This window comes from Homo sapiens, chromosome 6, assembly GCF_000001405.40.
Source record: "Homo sapiens chromosome 6, GRCh38.p14 Primary Assembly".
Classification (NCBI taxonomy): Eukaryota; Metazoa; Chordata; class Mammalia; order Primates; family Hominidae; genus Homo; species Homo sapiens.
In genome coordinates, this window is record NC_000006.12 from 169985464 (window position 1) to 170008699 (window position 23236).

Sequence of the window (23236 nt, forward strand, 5' to 3'; positions counted from 1 at the left end):
GGGACTGAACAGCAGCTCAGAAACGGCTCCACGCACCCTCCAGGACACAAAGGCAGCGAATGGATGTGACACAGACGGCGGCCTTTCCGTCCTTCCTCACCCTGGAGTCCCCATGCAGCCTCCGCCGTGCAAACCAGCCACGCATCAGAGAGACCACAGCCCGCGCCTCTCCCCGAGCCCAGACCCGTGCCCGGCTGCTCCTGAGCAGCCCTGACCCTGATTCTCATGTGGAAGTCTCAAACCACGGCTACCACCACCAAGCAGGCGTCTTCCTTCCCACGTGCACGTTTTCCTGCATGCTTCCACTCTGAGTGAGGGGAGATGCCATGGAGAGCTTGGTGCTGCAGACCCACAAATCCGACTGTGCTGGAAGTGGTGCTGGCCAGTGCACAGGGCAGTGGGGCTTGCAGTAGCTCGGCGAGAGACCCCGGGCGGATGGCAGTGATGTGTGGGGAGAAGCACTCAGACCCTGGCTGGGTTTTCCATGTAGAAGCTTCGGTGTTGTTGATGGAGGCTGGGGTCAGGGTATGAGCAGAAGACAGGGCAGGGCAGTGCGGGGCCTCTAAGCTCTCAGCTCAGCCTCAAACAGCGTGGCCTATGGGACAGCACAAAACCACTTGTGCTGGGACACCGCAGGACATGCATGACCTATAATGCAGTGGCCAGAAGCACCATCACAGTCATTTGGTGGAAACCAAAGACAAAAGTCCACAATAGATTCTGAAGAGGGGCGAGCCAGGTGGTCATCATTATAGAGCTTTTCTGACAGGACGGGGTCCTCCACGTGCCCCTCAAGAGGCAGACACTACAGGTGTGCGGCGGGGACCCACGCGGGAATGGCCACCTCTGTCTCAGGCAGAACAGACTGACGCCACCTGCCCCTGTCAGGGCCACACCTGCAGGAAAGAATTTCAAACTTCAGATCTGAACACTCTGGAAAAAGAGAGTGAATGTTTAAGCTCCCTCTCAGCCTGGCAGTGGTGGCATCCACGGGCGGCGAGTCCAGATCCTGAGGCTGCCACAGCCCCTGCACCGTGTATGCCTATATGCAAGGACACCCAGCTGTGGTGAGGCCTGGGGCCGCCGCCCTCTGCTCCAGCCACCCCTTGCTGCTCTCTGGGGGTTCCTTCAGCTGCAGGAAGCCAGGGCCGCTGTCCATCCCGAGGCCCCGTCCCTCCTGCCACCCTCTCGGCCTGCACCTGCCAGAGTCCAGAGAGGTTTTCCAGCAGAGGCTGTGACCGCAGCCGGCGAGAGATGAAGACGGAACCCGCTCCCCACGACATGTACCCAAAGGCGCCGGCCACAAGGAAACATGCACAGGACATCACAGGGCACGTCTGACAAAGATGCGGGGGCTGCGAGGACTGGGAGTGGCTGTCCACGAGGGCCCAGGGCCATGCTTTCATGGACCGTCTTACCCGCCTGCTCAGTCGAGGCCGAGAGCCCCGGGGAGAGCCGTGGCCGCCTGCCCCAGGCAGCACTGGGCATTCCCACGCTTCCTCCTCTCCAGGACAGGCTCCTCAGATGAGAGCAGGGATTGCAGCACGGGCCCGGGCACCCCGGCCGCGACCCCGCCATCTCTGAGCCACGCCCCCTAGCCAGGGCCGCCCACCCACTATCACTGAGGCCCACACCTGCTGAGACCCACACCTGCCGAGGCCCACACCTGCCCAGGCCCACCCATTATCACCGAGGCCCACACCTGCCGAGGCCCACACCTGCCGAGGCCCACACCTGCCGAGGCCCACACCTGGGGGATGGGCAGTCGGGGGAGGACGAGTGGTGCCGAGGGTCTGGGGGGCCCCTGAACCACCAGGGCGAGGTTCCCGGCTGGGGAGACGCAGAGCCAGGGCTCTGCACAGGGGGTGCCCTGGGGAGCAGGCATGAGAGCCACTTCTGCGAGGTGAGGTCACGAGACAGACGTCAACAAGGGCTGGCCAGAGAGAAGAGCCGGTCACCCAGGGCCTCGGAGGGAAGGAAGGCTCAGGGACCCGCGGGACGAAGGCTTGGAGAAGCCCCTGGGGAGCAGCTTGAGCACAGCGAGCTCTGGGACAATGGCCAGTGTCCAGCGACAGGGTGTTCAGAGACGGGGTGTCCAGCGACAGGGTGGGTCCGAGGGGACAGCGGCCGCCATGTCCAGCGACAGGATGGGTCCGGGGGGACAGCGGCCGCCATGTCCAGCGACAGGGTGGGTCCGAGGGGACAGCGGCCGCCATGTCCAGCGACAGGATGGGTCCGAGGGGACAGCGGCCGCCATGTCCAGCGACAGGGTGGGTCCGAGGGGACAGCGGCCGCCATGTCCAGCGACAGGATGGGTCCGGGGGGACAGCGGCCGCCATGTCCAGCGACAGGGTGGGTCCGAGGGGACAGCGGCCGCCATGTCCAGCGACAGGGTGGGTCCGAGGGGACAGTGGCCGCCATGTCCAGCGACAGGATGGGTCCGAGGGGACAGCGGCCGCCATGTCCAGCGACAGGGTGGGTCCGAGGGGACAGTGGCCGCCATGTCCAGCGACAGGGTGGGTCCGAGGGGACAGCGGCCGCCATGTCCAGCGACAGGGTGGGTCCGAGGGGACAGCGGCCGCCATGTCCAGCGACAGGATGGGTCCGGGGGGACAGCGGCCGCCATGTCCAGCGACAGGGTGGGTCCGAGGGGACAGCGGCCGCCATGTCCAGCGACAGGGTGGGTCTGAGGGGACAGCGGCCGCCATGTCCAGCGACAGGGTGGGTCCGGGGGGACAGCGGCCGCCATGTCCAGCGACAGGGTGGGTCCGAGGGGACAGCGGCTGCCATGTCCAGCGACAGGATGGGTCCGGAGGGACAGTGGCCGCCATGTCCAGCGACAGGGTGGGTCCGAGGGGACAGCGGCCGCCATGTCCAGCGACAGGGTGGGTCTGAGGGGACAGCGGCCGCCATGTCCAGCGACAGGGTGGGTCCGGGGGGACAGCGGCCGCCATGTCCAGCGACAGGGTGGGTCCGAGGGGACAGCGGCTGCCATGTCCAGCGACAGGGTGGGTCCGGAGGGACAGTGGCCGCCATGTCCAGCGACAGGGTGGGTCCGAGGGGACAGCGGCTGCCATGTCCAGCGACAGGATGGGTCCGGAGGGACAGTGGCCGCCATGTCCAGCGACAGGGTGGGTCCGAGGGGACAGTGGCCGTGATGTCCAGCGACAGGGTGGGTCCGGGGGGACCTGCTCTTCCAAGACCACATCGTCATAATTCTGTGAACATTTACACTGAAAAACAAGTGTTTGACTGGCACCGATGCCTGGCACAGCTTCCCTCATTCATTCCCATGTGCACACCGGGCACCTCCTTCATGGCCTCAGCCTCCCTGGTCCCCGATTTGCACTGGACCTGTGACCAGGGCTTCCTCACCTGAAGATCGACCCGGTGCCAGCCTCCGTCCTGCTCCCCCAGGCTCAGCCTCCCCACAACCCAGTGGCCTCCCCCTCCCACGGCCCCCTCAGCCGGGCACCATCACACTCTTGGGTTCACATCGGGCCACCTCCTGGCTGGGCGGGATGAGCCCTGTGGGGCTGGGACGTGCATGTCAGCAAAGGAGCCAGCACCAGGCTGGTCTGGAGATGCTAACCCAGAGGTTCCTGGATCTGGCAGGCTGTGCGCGGCCCTCCTGGCCTGGCCGTGTCCTCAGCTGGTGCTGCAGCCCATCCTCTCTGATCCGCACAGACCTGTGGCCACCCTTGTGTGTGTCTGCGGCACATTTAAATTACACATGAATTGAGAGAAGGACCTGCCCCGTGGACCTCTGCAGCCTCCACAGGACCTGCAGGTGCGGAGTGGTTCCTTTCTCATGGTGTCGAGGGCCAGCAGGCTGCACTCTGTCTCCCCACGCGAAGTGCCACAAATAGCCGATGTCTCCCCGCCCTTTCCTCAGCTGCTACTGCTGGGTTCTAACCTCCAACAGGCCAGCCCCAAACCAGGCCCCTGGCACCTGCTCAGGCCAGCCAGCCCGTCGGCCCCTCTGTGGGTGTCTGGTCTCAGGCCCTGACCTCTGGTGCTATGCCTCAGCACCCAGAAATGCTCTGCACGCAGTGGTCCCCGGTCCACAAAATGCACCCCTGTATGTTCACACACATGCATGTGTTCCAATAATACACACTCACAAGCCTCACATACACACATATGCCTATACAGTACACACAGGCACACACAATAAAACTCATACACACACATACACACACACATGACACACACAAGCACATACGTGCATATACATTACACACATACAACACACACAAGAATGCAAACACACATATGCATATACATTACACACAGGCACACACAACACACTCATATGTACACACGTACACAACACACAACACTCATGAGCACACACGCATATGCATATACATTACACACGGGCATACACAACACACATGCATACACACAGGTACACACAATAAAACTCACATGCACACACATACACACACAACACACACAAGTATGAGACCCCACAGTCAACCAGATCGAAGTAAACGGACGATTGGATGGAGCGGAAATCCCCTATCACCCTCTGCTTTGAATAGTTTGCTATCTGCATGATTTAAAGGAAAACTGAAGCTCTTATTAGAATAAAGTAAAAATGATCATTTCTTACCTTAAAATATAAACACGTGTCTGTATGTCATGTGTGGCCTGTCAGGAAGATGATTTGCATTGTCGGTTTCTGAGTGTGCTTTACAGGAAATAAAGGATGAGGCCCCTTCACGTGATGGGCTCCCGTCTTGCACGCTGGTTACCCCTTGGAGCTTCCCGTTTATGTGGATTGTGGCAGTGACTTGAAGTGGAGCCGAGTGTAGTGACCTCTTGTTAACGCCAGAGAGGTCTGTGGACCAGTGTGCTTTCTGCTCACATCGACTGAGAGTGCCACTGGGTAACAGCGGCATTCTCACTGAGTGTTTTCTTCATCATACAACTGCACCTCTGACGATCTCAGCCCACACAGTGGGAGGCGCTCCGAGGGCACGGGAAGCACCGGGCGACCTCAGGAGCTGCAGCGCCGCCAAGATGTTGGCCTCTTTTATTTCCTCACTTTCCCTTTTATATGGTTTTAGCTCTCACATTCTATTTAACTCTCTTTATAGCCATTTGCCATTGTGTGAGATGGCAGTTGCCTGCAATCTCCTGGGACTTGCTACTCTGGACGGAGGCTGAGCCCCTGAAGTCCACCCATCTATGACTCCTGGTCCACCCAGGCATTGGCCCTGCCTGGGGATCGTGCCTGAGTCTGCGCGGCCCTCTCCACTCAGAGCCGCCTCAGAGCCTCCTCCACAGCCCACGTAGCCCTGCCCGCTTTCCCTGGGATTTCGGGTGCAGTCGCAGGGTTAGGGGTGAGGGTTGGCCCCCCTCCAGGCAGGAGTGCCAAGTCCTTTCCAGTGCGGCTGCCCAGTCTACCGCGGACCTCAAGGTTTGGAGGCAAATGGCCCCACATCCCTCCTGACACCAGGACACCCAGACTTTCTGTTCCTGCAGGTCCCATGGGTGTCGGATGGGGCCTCAGGCTGAGCAGCGCATGTGGGTGCCCAGTTCATTTGTGAAACACCTTCTGTGTCCTCTGCAATCACCCTGCAGGGCTGTTCAGGGTCCTCGTGGGTGTGAGGTCTGCAGGACAGCGGCCCACAAGGTGCCCACGCCCATTCTCAGAACCTGAAATGTGTCACCTGTGTGGCAAGAGGGGCCGTGCAAATGCCATTAAATCGAGGACACTGAGCAGGGAGGTGTTGCCACATGATTCAGGGGGCCTGATGTCCTCACGGGCATCCATAAAAAGGAAAAGAGGGAGGTGGAGGGTCGGGCTGGCCAGAAGGCCAGGCACAGACCAGACAGAGGCTGGGGTAGAGCACAGAGAGGGTTTCTCCCAGGAGCCTCCAGAAGGAACCAGCCCTGCCCACTTCTGGATTTTCGCTCACAAAGACTTGGGCGGGATTTCTGACCTTGAGAACTGGAAGGAAATAAATTTGTGTTCTTTAAAGCCACTAAATTCATGGAAATTTGTTGCAGCAGCAAGAAGAAAGGACTCCGTTGCAGAAGAGGTCTGTAAAAAAGATCTTTGGTATCTATCATTTTTAGTTGCGTGTATTCCAAAATCTCCCAGTCTGAAATTTTTAAGATGTTTTTTGATGAAGAAAAGTTTATAATTTAAATATGGTCAAATTACCAACATTCTATATTTAGCTTTCTTTAAGATAAGCTTTCCTATTTCAAGGAGTAAAAGATACTCACCTATATGGTGTAAATTAATGGAGAGATATATCATGTTCATAGATAGGAAATGACAATTTTAGCCAGTTTGAATCTATAGACTCAGCCCAATTCAAATCAAAGTCCCAATAGAGTTTTCTATGGAGCTCAATGAGCTGATTCTCCAAGTGTGAGGAAAGAAGGATCCAGGGAAAGCCCATACTCCTTGCTGTGGTGTTTAGGGGGGTGAAATTTTTGTGTCAACTTGACCGGGCCAAGAGGTGCCCAGATACTTGGTCAAGCATTATTCCAGTGTGTCTGTGAGGGTGTTGTTGCGGGAGACTGACATTTGAACCTGAGCATGAGAAAGGTGTGGGCCTTGGTGTGTCTGTGAGGGTGTTGCTGGGGGAGACTGATGTTTGAACCTGAGCGTGAGGAAGGTGTGGTGGGCCTCGTCTGAACAGTTGATGACCTGAATACGACAAAAGGGTTGAGAGACAGAACTGGGATGAGAACTGACGCCGGCAGCTCTCTGGGTTGCCACTGGCATATCTTGGACTTTGCCTCCATGACTCAGTGAACCAGCTCCTTATTGTCTATGTATATGTCCACTTCGTTCTGTTTCTCTGGAGAACCCAGGCTAATCCAGTGTTCCAGTTTCTGCAGGTTTCTGAGGTACCACCCCACCCTTCCTCTGTGCCCCACACGCCTCTCAGAACACTGATCAGGCCCAAGTCACCAGGGATCTGGGAAATGCAGGAAGGATGGGGGAATGAGCTCTGTGAATTCACGCAGAATGCTGAATGCATAATTTATCACCCTAAGTAAAGACATCCTCAGATACAAAGGGCATAGAGTTGAGCTTCCCAGTGAGACGTACACCCTTAGCCTCCTCCCCGCAGCCCGTCCAGGACAGGAAGTACGAGGAAAGCCTTCTGCGGTGCCTGCAGCGGGCGGGTGGCTTCCTGTCCCAGACTGAGGTGCCTGTCCCAGATCTCGGGGGCAGCCCCACAGGCATGGCCGGCAGAGCCGCGGGACAGGCCCCCCTCTACAGAGGCCGCTCAGGGTGTTTTCTCTGCCAGGCCCCAGCCAGGGTGAGGAAGCAGAAATGACCTACTTTCCCTCTGGTGATTTGCTATCCTGATGGCCTCTCCCTGTGGAAGAGATGCAGAGGCCAAGGTGAAGGACAGCGGCTCCCTCCAGCACCCGGCCAGGCGGGCCATGGGCCAAGCAGGTGGGCCCTCTGCCCCAGGGGTTCCGGGTGTGCCGGGTGGTGTGGGAGAGGCCTCTGCTCCTTCTGAGCTGCAGAGAGTGGGGCTGGTCTGAGGCCGCCCTGCCTCTAGGCCATCCCTGCCAGTCTTGTCTGCAGCCCCGTTGCCAGGGCGCAGTCCTAGACAACCTGTCACATGCCTGAGGTCAGAGGTCAGGGTTGCTCCTAGGTTCTGAAGCCTTGGACCAGGGGACCGGCCGGAGCTTCTGTGCCTGAGAATGCTGAGCCGGTCCAGCATGGCCCAGGTCGATTGTGCAATCCTGGGCCAATAGCTCCACACCTTCCCTCAAGGTTTTTTGTTTGTTTGTTTGTTTGTTTTTGAGACAGAGTCTCGCCCTGTTGCCCAGGCTGGAGTGCAATGGTGTGATCTCGGCTCACTGCAACCTCTGCCTCCTGGGTTCAAGCGATTCTCCTGCCTCAGCCTCCCAAATAGCTGAGACCACAGACACACACCACCAAGCCCAGCTAATTTTTGTATTTTTAGTAGAGATGGGGTTTCACCATGTTGATCAGGCCGGTCTTGAACGCCTGTCCTCATGACCTGCCCACCTTGGCCTCCCAAAGTGCTGCAAGTACAGGCGTGAGCCACCGCGCCCGGTGCCCCCATCAAGGTCTTCTTAAGTAAAATGGAGCAGGCGTCTGAAGCTTCACCACCCAAGGACCCGACTGTCTCAGAAACGACCCCTGGAGGCCGAGGACCCGAGTCCCACAGCCACTCCCTCACCCTGGCCTTGTGCCCCATGGTTTTCTCTCTTTCCTGTGAGTCCCACAGCCCAGCCTGACCAGGTTGCAGCCCTGGGCTGGGCCACATCCTGGTGAAATCCCCCTGATCCTGACAGTGCTGTTTAAAATGGAGAAAACATGGGTTTGTCAGCAAATGGACAGTTCTGGGAGTGACAGTACGTTCCCATGCGGATAAGGTGTCTGTCTGTATCCCTGCTTGCCCCTCTGTGCCGGCTCGAGCTAAGCTGTCCTGGTGTGGCCCCTTGGCATTAGCCTCTGAGCTGTCTCCACGGCCTGACCGTGCCCTAACTCTGAACATGAAGGGGAACAGTCCCCCGGGGCCAGCCGGGACAAAGCAAAGTGGTGCTGAGAGTGGGGGCGGCAGCTGCTTTAAGCTCGGTGGGTTTGCCGATAGGACAATGCATGCCAAGCAGCTGGGGATGGAGCTGCAGGCCCCTCCAAGCCCCTGCCCTTCACTGCTGGGTGGGAGACTAGAAGGCCGCATCACCCAGTGTCTGTGGCCAGAAGCTCCAGCCATGGGTGTGACCCTGAGTGGTGGCTCAGCCCAGGTGCTGAAGGCTCTGGGCCCTGTGGGGTGATCCAGGAGCAGGGGCCTTTGTGGACAAGGGCACCAGCCTGCGCGGTGAAGCTCAACCACAAACGTGTTTTGAAGGAGGGAGCCACTCCTCCACCAGCCTTTCCAACTGAGCATCCATGTGGGTGCACCTGCCCTGGTGGCCTTCCGAGCCCCGTGGTCACAGCCTCTCCTGGGGACCAGCTCTTCAGAGAACATCTCAGGAGCCTGACAGCACTGCCGTCCTGTGGCCCCGTCAGGACCCTGAGCCACAGGCCCAAACAGAATTCTGTGGGCTTAGCTCCCTGCTGGCTCCCTGCAGACGCCTCTAACAAGGCCTGTAAATGATGTTTCTTTGAATCAGGCTTGTGTGGCGTGCTAAAGTGCATTAACTTTTATTTATGTTACAGTATTAAAAACAGATGAAACATCAATCGATCCATTGGGGTGCCCTTTGGGAGTTACAGACAAAATAATTTGAAAGATCTTTTTTAAAAATGTGTTTGAATTGAAGCTCCAGATGGTGCTTAAAGATGTGTTGGAGGGTTCTGTATAACTCAGAAGGAAGAACAAAGACAAAACAACAACAACAACAAAAGAGATGCACGAGTGAGTGTGTGTGCGGCTTCGTTTATGCCGAGGACTCTAATGCAGAGAACACAAACTCTGCAGGCACAGAGTCCAGACCCACACCCAGCACCCGGTGCCTCCCTGCTCCGCTGTTCCCAGGCCTTAACAGTGAACCTCAGCGTTCGCCTTTGTAAATGGAGAAAGCCATCTCTTTTGTAGGGTATGGGGGCCCTCAAAGAGATAGTGCCTACCTAAAAAGAAGGAATGCTGTTAGACCTGACTTGAGGCTAGAGATGCTGTAAAGGAGCTCAGCACACAGTAAATGCTCAGTAAGTGTTTTCCATTCTTTCCAGCAGGACCACTCACTGCAGGTCTTATATTTGCCTAAGAAATTACTGAATGCTTGTCCCACAAAGAAAATTGTTGGAACTCATAAATGAATTTGGCAAAGTTTCAAGATACAAAATCAACAAACATCAGTTGTGTTTCTATACACGAACAATGCATAATCCAAAAAGGAAACCAGGAAAAGGATCCAGGTTCAAGAACATCGAAAAGGAATAAAATACCTAAAAGCGAACTTAACCAAGGAGGTGAAAGACTTGTACATTGAAAACTACAGGACATTTCTAAACGAAATTGAAGAAGGCACAAATAAATGGAAAGGCATCCTGTGTTCACTTAGTATTGTTAAGATATTCACAACATGCAAAGCAGTCTCTAGGAATTCTATAAAATCCCTACCAAAATCCCAATGGCATTTTGTGCAAATGAAAAAAATTAATCCTAAAATTCATACATAAAGTCTCAAGGGACCCTGATTAGCCAAAACAATCTTGAAAATAAAAAAGAAAGATGACTCACATTTTCTGATTTCAAAACTTACTACAAAGATATAGTAATCAAATGGTGTGGTACTGGCAGAAAAAAAAGACAGATATATAGAGCAACAGACTAGAATAGAGGGCTCAGAAATGCACATCTGTGGCTAAATGACTTTAACTCACGCATCAAGACCACTCCATGAGGAAAGGATGACCTCTTCAAATGATGCTGGGAAACCTGGCTGTCCATATGCAACAGAATGAAGCTAGACACTTACCTTACACTATGAACAAAAATTAACTCAAAATAGGTCGAAGACCTAAATGCAAGACCCAACATTGTAAATGTCTTAAAAGAAAACATAAAGGAAAGTTTTATAACATTGGATTTGTCACGAATTTCCTGCCTGTGACACCAAAAGCACAGACAATAAAAGCAAAAATAGACAAATGGAACTACATTAAAATTTTAAAACTTCTGTACATCAAAGGACACAATTGACAGAGGAAAGGCAACCTATGGATGGGAGAAAATATTTGGAAATCGTGTATCTGGCAAGGGGTTAATATCCAGAACATTTACAGGACTCCTAAAATTCAATAACAAAAACCAAATGACCCAATTTAGAAACGGGCGAGGGACTTGAGTAGACATTTCTCTATTTCTCTAAAGCTGGTATACAAATGGCCAGCAAATACATGAAAGGAAGCTCAACACCACTAAACATGAGGGAAATGCTAATCAAAAACATAATGAGATATCACCTCACATGCAGTCGGGTGACCACTATCAACAAAAGTTAAAAATTGTTGGCAAAGGTGAAGAGGAATTGGAACCCTTGTTCCCTGTGAGCAGGAAGGTCAAATGGTGCAGCTGCTGTGGAAAACCCTAAGGCAATTCCTCACAAAATAAACATAAAATTAGCATATTGTTCAGCAATCCCCCTTCTGGGTGTATATGCAAAAGAATTGAAGGCAGAGTCATGAAGAGATATTCATAGAATCCAGCAGCATTATTTACAATGGTAAAAATGTGGAAGCAACCCAAGGGTCCATCAACAGATCAACGGATAAACAAAATGTGTGTGTGTTGTGTGTGTGTTGTGTATGTGTTGTGTGTGTTGTGTATGTGTTGTGTATGTGTGTGGTGTGTTGTGTCATGTGTGTATGTGTGTTGTGTGTGGTGTATGAGTGTGTGTGTTTTGTGTTGTGTGTGTGTCGTGTGTTGTGTATGTGTTGTGTGTGTGTTGTGTGTTGTGTATGTGTTGTGTGTGTGTTGTGTTGTGTTGTGTGTTATGTGTGTTGTGTGTGGTGTATGCGTGTGTGTGTTGTGTGTATGTGTGTGTTGTGTGTGTGTGTACACACAGTGGAACAGCACTCAGCCTCAAAAGGAAGGAAATTCCAACACATGCTACAACATGGACGACGTTTGAGGGCACCATGCTCAGTGGAATAAGCCAGCCACAGAAAGCCAAGTCCTGCATGACCCCACTTCATGAGGTCCCTAGAAGAGTCACATCCCAGAGAGGGAAAGCAGGAAGGTGGGTATGGGGGCAGGGGAAGCAGCAGGGACTGAGTGTTTAATGGGGGCGGAGGTGAAAAGGCTCTGGACTAGCTGCACAACAGTGTGGATTTACGTAACACTAAGGAGCTGAACACCTAGAAATGGCTAAGATCATCCATGCTGTGGGGTGTCCTACTGAAGAATTACCCTGGCCCCCGAGGACCTCACCACTGGGCAAGGGTAAGAAGTGGGTGCTGATGAGAGCAGTGGGCACTGGGCACTTGCCCTGAGGTTGGTGTTTCCAGGCAGGCCTGATGGCTGCCAGGACAGCACCCAGTCCTTGGCTCCTTGTGGAGCCTCCCCTCTCATGGCCTGGGGTGACCCAATTCCAACAGATGAACTGCATCTCCAAGCAACCGTAAGAAGCACTCTTTGTGAATGCGTGCATGTGACTTGCTGGGAGTGTGTTTCCAAACGTACCCAGGGAGAAACAAAATAAATTTTAGAGGTTCTTCTAAGTCTCTGGACTGGCATTATAGCCAGACGCTGTGGTCACTGTCTCCTGAGCCTTCGCCATGCCTACAGACTTTGAGGAAGTTTGAGAACCAGCAACATCATCCCAACATTGCCGAGTCATCTCCCAGGAACCAGGATACCTCTTCTTGGCTGGAGAGACTTTTGCTGGACAGAAAAGTGGTTCCCTCACCATCAAGGTGCTGAGCAGGTGGGTGCCCTACCCAAGCCGCCTGGAATTCTCGAAGGCTGGAACTCTCCATGGCTGGAACCACACTTGTGTATGAGGCATGGATTCTTCTGCCTCTGCTCTGCCTGTCTCTTCCACTTCCTCAGCAACACCACAAGAGTGACTCACAACCCCCAGCCCCTGGCCAGAGGCCTGGCACCGATGGCTCCCACCTCAGGGAGCCCCTGGGGGCAGGAACATCTTGGTGCAGGGACGTTCGGTAAGCTCTGGACACTCCACCGGGACACATCTGCCTGGAGCCAGCCCATTCCATGGAGGGGACGGTTGGGTGCACATGAACCCCTCGTCTATTTGAAAGTGTGGAACGATCTAGAGCAGGCAGTCAGGAAACAGTTTTCTAACGAGTGAGAGAACGAGACAGGAAAGTGGATGGTGAGTGTTAGTGGAGTCAGGTTTGTCAGAAATTGAGTTACTTCCCCCTTCTCCTTACCTTAGACAAACTGAAGTGAAAAGTAGTTTGTCTTAGCTATACAAAAATCTTTTTTTTTTTTTTTTTTTTTTTTTTTGCAAAATTCACTCATCTCTTTATTCATTCATGAATCAAATCTTTCCTAGGGTGTATTTCTCTCCAGGGCCTTGTACTGTGTTGGGGACCCCCAGAAGAAAGTGATGTGGGGTCCTTCCTTCCTTGGGCCACAGACGATGTGAACCAGAATGGTCACAGCTGCAAAACCACCCCTCTCCAAATGCACGTTTCAACTGACAAGGCCAAAAGTGTGGCCTTGGAGAGATCCTGCAGCCACAGGATGAGATGTGACTCCCAGGAAAGGACCGCTGTGACCAGCGAGTCTGTGCGTCTGCAGGCTGGGTCCCTGTGTCCTCCACATCCTCCTCCCCAGCAGCTCCCTCACCCATGGGATGGAGATTTGCGAGGGCCAAGTCAACGCCTGTGCAGCCACCAGTGGGCTGAGACAGGACTAATGTGAGGGCACTGCAGTTTTAAAAGTTTAATTGGAAATCAAAATGGAAATTTAGGAAACAGGAAATAAGACCAGGAGGAGGCCCAGAAGTTCTGTTTGGTGGATGCAGGGCTCCTGAGAATGCAAAGCTAGGTACGAAGGGAAGAGGAAAAGACAGTGTGGAGCATCCAAAGTGGCCACCTCGGGCTTGTGGTGGTGTTGATTTCTCATGTTCTATATTTTTCATATTTTCTAATATTTTTACAGGGCATTCTTGTGATATAAGGAGGACATTACAAAAAAATCATACATTTTTAAAATAAAGACAAAAAATGTGTTCAAAGAAGTGACAAGCGTAGCCCCTTTTTGTGTTCTGAAAAAGCTCAGTGCATGGCAAGCTTCTGAGTCCCTGTCTCTGTATGAACAAAGGTCTTGGTGTTTTAGAAGGCAAGGTAGACTCCTACTGTTCGTATTCTTGTGCATCCAATGTAAACTTTGTATTCTACCTAAGGCTTGTACAAATCACTGTGCTTTGCTCTGAAGTGGCCCAGAGAAAGTCTGGATGTTTCAGGGCCTTTAAGATGAGTGAAGTAACAAGGTCTTGCCACACACTCAGCCCATTTAACATTTATGTTTCCAAAACATATTCTGAATCGCTGAGCTTGAGAATGAAGTGACTCAAGGTATAAACCAAAAATAAGATTCTAAGCCCCCACAAGGCTCTAAATGGGCCCCTTCTCTCAGCCACGGGCATTCCGAAGTTAACCTGAAAAATTCCTTCAGGCCGTGACAGGAAGTGGGGGTCAGACATTTCTCATTATACCACACAACCGCTGGAACCCAGGAAAAGCTGACCAGCAAGAACACCGTGACAGGAAGTGGGGGTCAGATGCCTCATTATACCCCCAAACGCTGGAACTCAGAAAAGCTGACCAGCAAGAACATCAGCACAGACCTTAAGCCTAATAGGAAGCATTTACAATCTCTTCTCTCTGCAGCCTGCTACTTGGAGGCTTCGTCTGCATGAGAAAACCTTGGTCTCCACAACCTCTTATCTTAGTCCAGACACTGCCTTCCTATGGATTCTAAGTTTTTAGATAATAACAACTCTTTCAACCAATTGCCAATCAGAAAATCTTTGAATCCACCTATGATTGGAAGCCCCCCACTGCCCCTTGACTTCCCATTGTCCTGCCTTTCCAGACTGAAGCAATGTGCACCTGATGTGTATTGACCGATGCCTTACAACTCCCTAAAATGGACACATGTTCTCAGGACCTCCTCAGGCTGTGTCTCAGGCTGTGGTCACTCATATTTGACTCAGAATAAATCTCTTCAAATATTTTACAGATTTTGACTCTTTTTACTGATAAGGCATTCCTGCTTCTCGGGCTCCAAGTCAACACTGAACAGCCTTGGAAGCTCTGCCTTTGGGTGATGGCTCCGAATCTCTCATCCTCATCACAGAGCACCAGGCCAGTTGGGTCGCCAGTGCCCAGCCTCCTCCCTGCACGCAGTTCAAGCAGTGAGTCTCAGAAAAGCACATACTGCTGCCAGCTTTAGATGCTAACAGAGGAGCCAGGGCCATCTGTGAACAGCAAACTCACTTCCAGCCAGAGGCATGGCTCACACCGGATTCCTGCTGGGTGTACCTGCCTGGCCACAGTCAACAGCTCTGGCCATGTCGAATGCCCCATGTCCCTCTGCTTGCGCTGTTGCGGGGGGGGGGGGGGGTTCCTGCTGCTGTCCCCCTGGAGGCAACCTTGCTGTCTCTCCTAGGTGGTTCCCAGAGGTGACAAAACCAATGAGGCCAGGGTTGGCAAGATGGGAAGGAGGATGGGTGGGGCCCTTGCCCCATGCAACTCTCACCCCCCACCAAGACCACCTGCACTGCAGCAGCCCAATGTTGCCATCCCCAGCAGTGGGCCTGGAGTGGCTTAGGCAGGGACCCCAGCCATCCCCTCCTTCTCACCTTGTATTAGTCCATTTTCATACTGATAATAAAGTCATACCCAAGGCTGGACAATTTACAAAAGAAACAGGTTTAATGGACTCACAGTTCTATGTGGCTGGGGAAGCCTCACAATCATGGTGGAAGGCAAGGAAGAGCAGGTCACGTCTTACATGGATGGCAGCAGGCAAAGAGAGAGCTTGTGGAGGGAAACTCCCCCTTATGAAACCATCAGGTCTTGGGATACTTATTCACTATTACCAGAACAGCACAGGAAAGGCCTGCCCCCACAATTCAAATACCTGGGAATTCAAGATGAGATCTGGGTGGGGACACAGCCAAATCATGTCATTCTGCCCTTGGCCCCTCCCAAATCTCATGTCCTCATATTTCAAAACCAATCATGCCTTCCCAACAGTCCCCCAAAGTCTTAACTCATTTCAGTATTAACTCAAAAGTCCACAGTCCAACATCTTATCTGAGACAAGGAAAGTCTTTTCGCCTATGAGCCTGTAAAGTCATAAGTAAGTTAGTTAGTTCCTAGATACAACAGGGGTACAGGCATTGGGTAAATACAGTCATTTCAAATTGGAGAAATTCGCCAAAACAAAGGGACTACAGGCCCCATGCAAGTCCAAAATCCAGTGGGGCAATAAAATCTTAAAGCTCCAAAATGATCTCCTTTGACTCCATGTCTCACATCCAGATCACGCTGATGGAAGAGGTGGGTTCCCATGGCCTTGGGCAACTCTGCCCCTGTGTGGCTTTGCAGGGTACAGCCTCCCTCCTGGCTGCTTTCATGGGCTGGTGTTGAGTGTCTGCAGCTTTTCCAGGCACAGAGTGCAGGCTGTCAGTGGATCTACCATCCTGGAGTCTGGAGGACGGTCGTCCTTTTCTCACAGCTCCACTAGGAAGTGCCCCAGTAGGGACTCTGTGTGGGGGTTCCAATCCCACATTTCCCTTCTGCACTGTCCTAGCAGAGGTTCTCCATGAGAGCCCATCCCTGCAGCAAATTTCTGCCTCGACATCCAGGCATTTCTATACAACCTCTGAAATCTAGGCAGAGGTTCCCAAACCTCAATTCTTCTGTGCACTTGCAGGCTCAACATCATGTGGAAGCTGCCAAGGCTTGGGGCTTGCACCCTCTGAAACCATGGGCTGAGCTCTATGTTGGCCCCTTTCAGCCATGGCTGGAGCAGCTGGGATGCAGGGCACCAAGTCCCTAGACTGCACACAGCACAGGGACTCTGGGCCCCAAAACCACTTTTTCCTCCTAGGCCTCCAGGCCTGTGATGGGAGGGGCTGCTGTGAAGACTTCTGACATGCCCTAGAGACATTTTCCCCATTGTTTTGGGGATTAACATTTGGCTCCTTGTTACTTATGCAAATTTCTGCAGCCAGCTTGAATTATTTCCCTTCAGAAAATGGGTTTTTCTTTTGTATCACATTGTCAGGCTACAAATTTTCTGAACTTTATGCTCTGTTTTCCTTATAAAACTGAATGTCTCTAACAGCACTCAAGTCACCTCTTGAATGCTTTGCTGCTTAGAAATTTCTTCTGTCAGATACCCTAAATCATCTCTCTCAAGTTCAGAGTTCCACAAATCTCTAGGGCAGGGGCAAAATGCCACCAATCACTTTGCTAAGTCACCTGTGCTCCAGTTCCCAACAAGTTCCTCATTTCCCTCTGAGACCACCTCAGTGTGGACTTTACTGTCCATATCATTGTCAGCATTTTGGGCAAAGCCATTCAACAATTCTCTAGGAAGTTCCAAACTTTCTCACATTTTTCTGTCTTCTCCTGAGCCCACCAAACTGTTCCACCCCTGCCTGTTACCCAGTTAGAAAGTTGCTTCCACATTTTCAGGTATCTTTTCAGCATCACCCCACTCTCTGTACTACTAATTTACTGTATTAGTCCATTTTCACACTGCTGATAAAGACATACCCAAGACTGGGCAATTTACAAAAGAAAGAGGTTTAATGGACTTACAGTTTCACATGGCTGGGGAGGCCTCACAATCATGGTGGTAGGTGAAAGGCATGTTTCACATGGTGGCAGACAAAAAAAGAGAGCTTAAGCAGGGAAACTCCCCCTTATAAAACCATCAGATCTTGTGAGACTTATTCATTATCACAAGAATAGCATGGGAAAGACCTGCCCACATGACTCAATTACCTCCCACTGGGAACCTCCCATAACATGGGAATTCAAGATGAGATTTAGGTGGGGACACAGCCAAACCATATCACACCTCATTCCACATTTATCTCATCACAGCAGACTCCAGAGCAGGAGGCCAGGCCTGGCAGTGCAGCATCACAGGCACAGGAAAAGGAAGCCTCCCTGCAGTAGCCAGCCATGTGCCCTGTACTGTGGCTGCAATGCTACAGGGCCTGCACCCTGTCTCTCTGGTCCTGATGGGATTGGAGCCTCAGCCTTCCCAGGGCACAGCGCCCCTGCTGGAAGGTCTGCTCCAGCGCAGTCTTGCAGACACCTGCCTGGACTCAGCCATCTGCCAGGACTGGCCTGGCCGACCCCAGCTTTGCTATGAATGGGACTCTCCAGATGAATGACCCCATTAGGGATGGGACAGTCCATTGACAATTAGACTCATGGCTTCCTTGTCTCCAGGGTCACAGTTGCCCTGTGTGAAGTCCTGTGCCCACCCTTAACAATGGCTTTGTTTGCCCTGTCTACTGATCATGACTTTTGTCTGTCAGCCTAATATCTGCCCATCCCTTGACAGAGGCATGGGAGAGTGCTTTGGCCTTACCTGAACCTGGACCTAGACCTAGAGATGTGGAAGTTTCTGAAGCTTGTGAGCTGCCCTTTTATCTCTGTCATGGCTCATCTGAGTTTGGGGGAATGTCTATTCTGATGGGAAGGGATTCAGAATGGCTTCTGACTCATTTGCTGTCCTGTCCTCATGACCCTTGCAAAGCTGGGATGTTACAGCTGCCAGGGAGGCTAAGACTGCTTCCCTCAGCCCCTACCTTGCTGTATTAGTCCATTCTCATGCTGCTAATAAAGACATACCTGAGACTGGGTAATTTATAAGGGAAAAAGGTTTAACTGATTCACAGTTCAGCCTGGCTGGGGAGGCCTCAGGAAACTTACAATCATGGCAGAAGGGAAAGGAAATACATCTTTCTTCACATGGCAGCAGGAAGGAGAAGTGCTAAGCACAAGAGGGGAAAGCCCCTTCTAAAACGATCAGATCTTGTGAGAACTCACTCATTGTCACAAGAAGAGAATGGAGGTAACCACCACCATGATTCAATTACCTCCCACTGGGTCTCTCCCATGACACCTGGGGATTATGGGAACTACAACTCAAGATGAGGTTTGGGTGGGGACACAGCCAAACCATATCATTCCACCCCTGGCCCCTCCCAAATCTCATGTCCTCACATTTCAAAACACAATCATGCCTTCCCAACAGTCCCCCAAAGTCTTAACCCATTCCAGCATTAACACAAAAGTCAAAATCCAAAGTCTCCTTGAGACAAGGCAAGCCCCTTCTGCCTATTAGCCTGTAAAATCAAAAGCAAGTTAGCTACTTCTCAGATGCAATGGGGGCACAGGCACTGGGTAAATGTTTCTGTTCCAAATGGAAGAAACTGGCCAAAACAAAGGGGCTATAGGCCCCATGCAAGTCTGAAATCCAATAGGGCAGCCATTAAAACTTAAAGTTCCAAAATGGTCTCCTTTGACTCCATGTCTCACATCTAGGTCATGCTGATGTAAGAGGTGGGCTCCCATGGCCATGGGTAGCTCTGCCCCTGTGGCTTTTCAGGGTACAGCCCCCAACCCCAGCTTCTTTCATGGCTGGCATTGAGTGTCTGTAGGTTTTCCAGGCACACGGTGCAAGCTGGCAGTGGATCTATCATTCTGGGGTCTGAAGGAGGGTGGCCCTCTTCTCAGAGCTCCACCAGGCAGTGCCCCGGTGGAGACTCTGTGTGGGGCCTCCGACCCTACATTTCCCTTTCACACTGCCATAGCAGAGGTTCTCCAAGAGGGCTCCACCTCTGCAGCAAACTTCTGCCCGAACATCCAGGCATTTCCACACATCACCTGAAATCTAACAGGAGGTTCTCAAACCTCAATTCTTGACTTCTGTGTATGCACAGGACCAACACCATGTGTAAGCCACTAAGGCTTGGGGCTTATACCCTCTGAAGCAATGGCCTAAGCTGTACATTGGTCTCTTTTAGCGACAGCTGGAGCTGAAGCAGCTGAAAAGCAGAGCACCATGTCCTGAGGCAGCACAGAGCAGGAGGGCCCTGGGCCTAGCCCAGGAAACCATTTTTCCCTCCTAGGCCTACAGGTCTGTGATGGGAGAGGCTGCCATGAAGGTCTCTGACATGCCCTGGAGACATTTTTCCCATTTTCTTGGTGATAAACATTTGGCTCCTCATTATTTATGCAAATTTCTACAGCAGGCTTCAATTTCTCCCTAGAAAATCTGGTTTCCTTTTCTATCACATCACCAGGCTGCAAAATTTCCAAACTTTTATGCTCTGCTTCCTCTTGAATGCTTTACCACTTAGAAATTTCTTCTGTCAGATACCCTAAATCATCTCTTTCAAGTTCAAATTGTCACAGATCTCTAGGGCAGGGGAAAAATGCTGCCAGTCTCCTTGCATAGCAAGAGTGACCTTTACTCCCATTCCCAACAAGTTCCTTATCTCCACCTGAGATCACCTCAGCCTGGACTCCATTGTCCATATCACTATCAGCATTTTGGGCAAAGCTATTCAAGAAGTCTCTAGAAGTTCCAAACTTTCCCACATTTTCCTATCTTCTTTTGAGCTCTCCAAACTGTTCCAACCACTGCCTGTTACACAATTCCAAAGTCACTTCCACATTTTTGTGTATCCTTATAGCAGCACCCCACTCTCTGCAGTACAAGTTTACTATATTAGTCTGTTTTCATGCTCCTAATAAAGACATACTTGAGACTGGGTAATTTATAAATGAAAGAGGTTTAATTGACTCACAGTTTTGCATTGCTATGGAAGCCTTAGGAAACTTACAATCATGGCAGAAGGGGAAACAAACACATCCTTTTTCACATGATGGCAGGAAGAGGAAGTGCTGAGCAAAAGGGGGAAAGCCCCTCATAAAACCATCAGATCTTATGAGAACTCACTTCACAAAAACAGCAGCATGGGGGTAACCACCCCCATGATTAAGTTACCTCCCATTGGGTCCTTCCCAGAACACCATAGGGATGATGGGAACTACAATTCAAGATGAGATTTGGGTGGAGACACAGCTATACCATATCACTGGGGTCAAAGCTTCATAGACTGCTAACGCTTTGCTAGGCTGAGACCTACAGAGGCCAGGACCCACCCTGTGGGTCTGTGGGAGAGAACTCAGGGCTCTTCCTTGGTGACAAAACCATACAGCACAAAACCAGGGTCAGAGGTAAGAGGGGACCCATGACCCCCTGGCCTGGGTGTCTCAACCTGAAGATCAGGTCTTGCTTAGATGATCGCTACAGGGACAGTGCTGTACTGAGGCAGAAGGTACATTGTGGCTTCAGGGCTGACCCCGCCGCTGCACCAGCACACAGAGCCCTGCCTGGGTCTCTGCCTTCACCATCCTGAAAGTCTTAATGACCTCGGAACAAGGGGTCCTGCATTTTCATTTTGCACCAGGCTCTGAGAATTATGTAGCTGGTCCTGATCAGATTTCCTCTGTGCTGACAGAAAGCCCCAGTGGTGCAAAACTTAATTGAAAGAACAGACTAGACCAGCAGCTCTCAAGGGTGGAATTGTGCTCTGGGGGCACATTTGCCAATGTCTGGAGACATTTTTGGCTCTCTGTGCTGGTGCTGAGTAGGATGCAGCCAGGGATGCTGTGAAACTATCTACAAGGCACAGCAGTCTCCAGCAACAGAGTCATCCCGCTCCAAGTGTCAATACTGCTGAGGCTGAGGAACCCTGGGCTAGAGCAATGTATGCAGCCCAGGCAGCTGCAGGAACTGCTTATGAGTCCAATCAAAGGAGCCAGCGCTGTCCAGAGGAGGCTTCCCAGCACCAGGAGGGGCTGGAATTTAACCATAGTCTGGCAAAAAGAAGTCTTCCCAAGACACCAAACCCCGTACCCCTTTAGCCCTTCCTCCTGAGAGTACAGGCCATACATCAGACAAAACCTGCATTCTGCAGAAGGAACACCCTCTGTGACCGGGTGGGTTGCAGCATGGCTGAAACATGCATGCATTTGAAGAAGCGGCTGCCCACAGAGGTCATTCTGGAATCATACTGCAGACAGAGGCCGCGAGGCAGGGCCGTGAGGGCAGGGGAGGAAAACTCACCAAGTCTGGTGTCCTCTGCCATGATGTTAGAAATCAAACTTTTATGAGTGTGACAGGCAGATGGTCAAAACCACGCCGATGTGCCAGGTGTTTTAATGAGCCCGGTCTCCAAGTCAGCACGGCACCCCGGAGCGCAGCATTCCTGGAGTTACCTAGGTTACTCCACCGAGGCAGCCCTGGGCAGCGAGGCCTCAGGTGAAAACCTTGAAAAGCGGCTCAGGCATTAGCATGACAAAGAGCCGCCACCTGGGGCGGCTCTGGGCCCGGCCTCCTGGCTGCCAGGACAGACGCTGTTGTTGTTTGTCTTTTTGTTTTGTTCGTCTTAAAGAACATCCTGAAGATGTTTGCTGGGGCTGGTAACCAAGCAGCAAGAGTTTATGCTCAAAATAGACATTGTTTGTAATTTTTCACCCCAGTTACCCTAGAAATTTCTCAAATGATTTCTTTATAGCAGCAGACGCAGGACTCCATCCCACCCCCCACTGGCCCTGCTCCTTAGAGGGATAATGAGCTGGGCCCCCTCAGCCTCCTTCCCACTGATTACTGTTTATTAAGCGTCCGCGAGAAGCGGGGCCTGTTTTCCCTCAGCCTTTTTTATCTCCTAATGTGTGTGTGTGCCATGCAGATTAGGATAGGAAAATGCTAATTTACACTGCACAGCGAGCTGCTCAGAAAGCCAGATCTGCACAGACCCGTGAGCCCGGGGGCGGCGCAGGGGCGCCAGGAGACGCAGACTGGTGCCCCAGGCTCCAAGGCAGCAGACCTGGGGTAGTTGGTGTAGATGTGTTCAACCGCATTCAAGTGGTGCATTACTAGAAATGGGGCTGGTGTGGAAGAAGCTCCACGCACATCCTGTATTGGCACCGCTCAGCCAGCTGGGCTTCTCTGGTCACCATGGACACTCCAGGCTGGACAGGGTGCCTCTTAGGAACCTGTCTCCACTGCTCTGTCCCCCAGGCCTGCTAACTTGGTTGCTGGAGGGTCAGGGCTGCAGAGAGACCAGGGGTTCACTCAGGTTCTCAAGGTCACCTTCCTGGAACCCTTGAAGGAAGGGCAGCAGCTCCGGAGATGCTGGGACCCTGCATGTGATCTCCAGGGTAACTCCTTAACTGAAACCACTGAATGCTGCCTTCACACAGCGGAACTGAGTTTATGAGGCTTTCCATTTCAAGGAGGATGCAGCCATTGACCTTGTTAACTCACTGGAAGGTGGAGAGTCTCTGTTAGCTGAATCAAGGTTGAAAGAGAACAGCCACAGCTGGTGGAGGTAGAGGAGGACGAGACTGAGCTTAGGGTGTGTTACGAAACTGGCGTTTCTGGACACAAGCAGCCTCTGAGAGGCAATGGGGAATCAGAGCTGGGCAGCAAAGCGCAGCTCGCGCCTGCAGCACGAAATTTCCAGTGAAATGAAGACTCAGAGTCAGAACAGGCCGTGGAGACCATGTGGCCATGCTGTCTCGTCAGCGTACCTGAAGAAGATGAGCTACACCATGGCACTCAGAAGCCCTCCTCAGCTCCCAGGACTCTCCTGCGTGGGGACAGAGTGTCACTACTCCCGCCCACTCCCCAGGGGACATGTCTCGGGTCTCATTTCCGTTAAACTCACCTCCACCTAACTCCACCCCCGG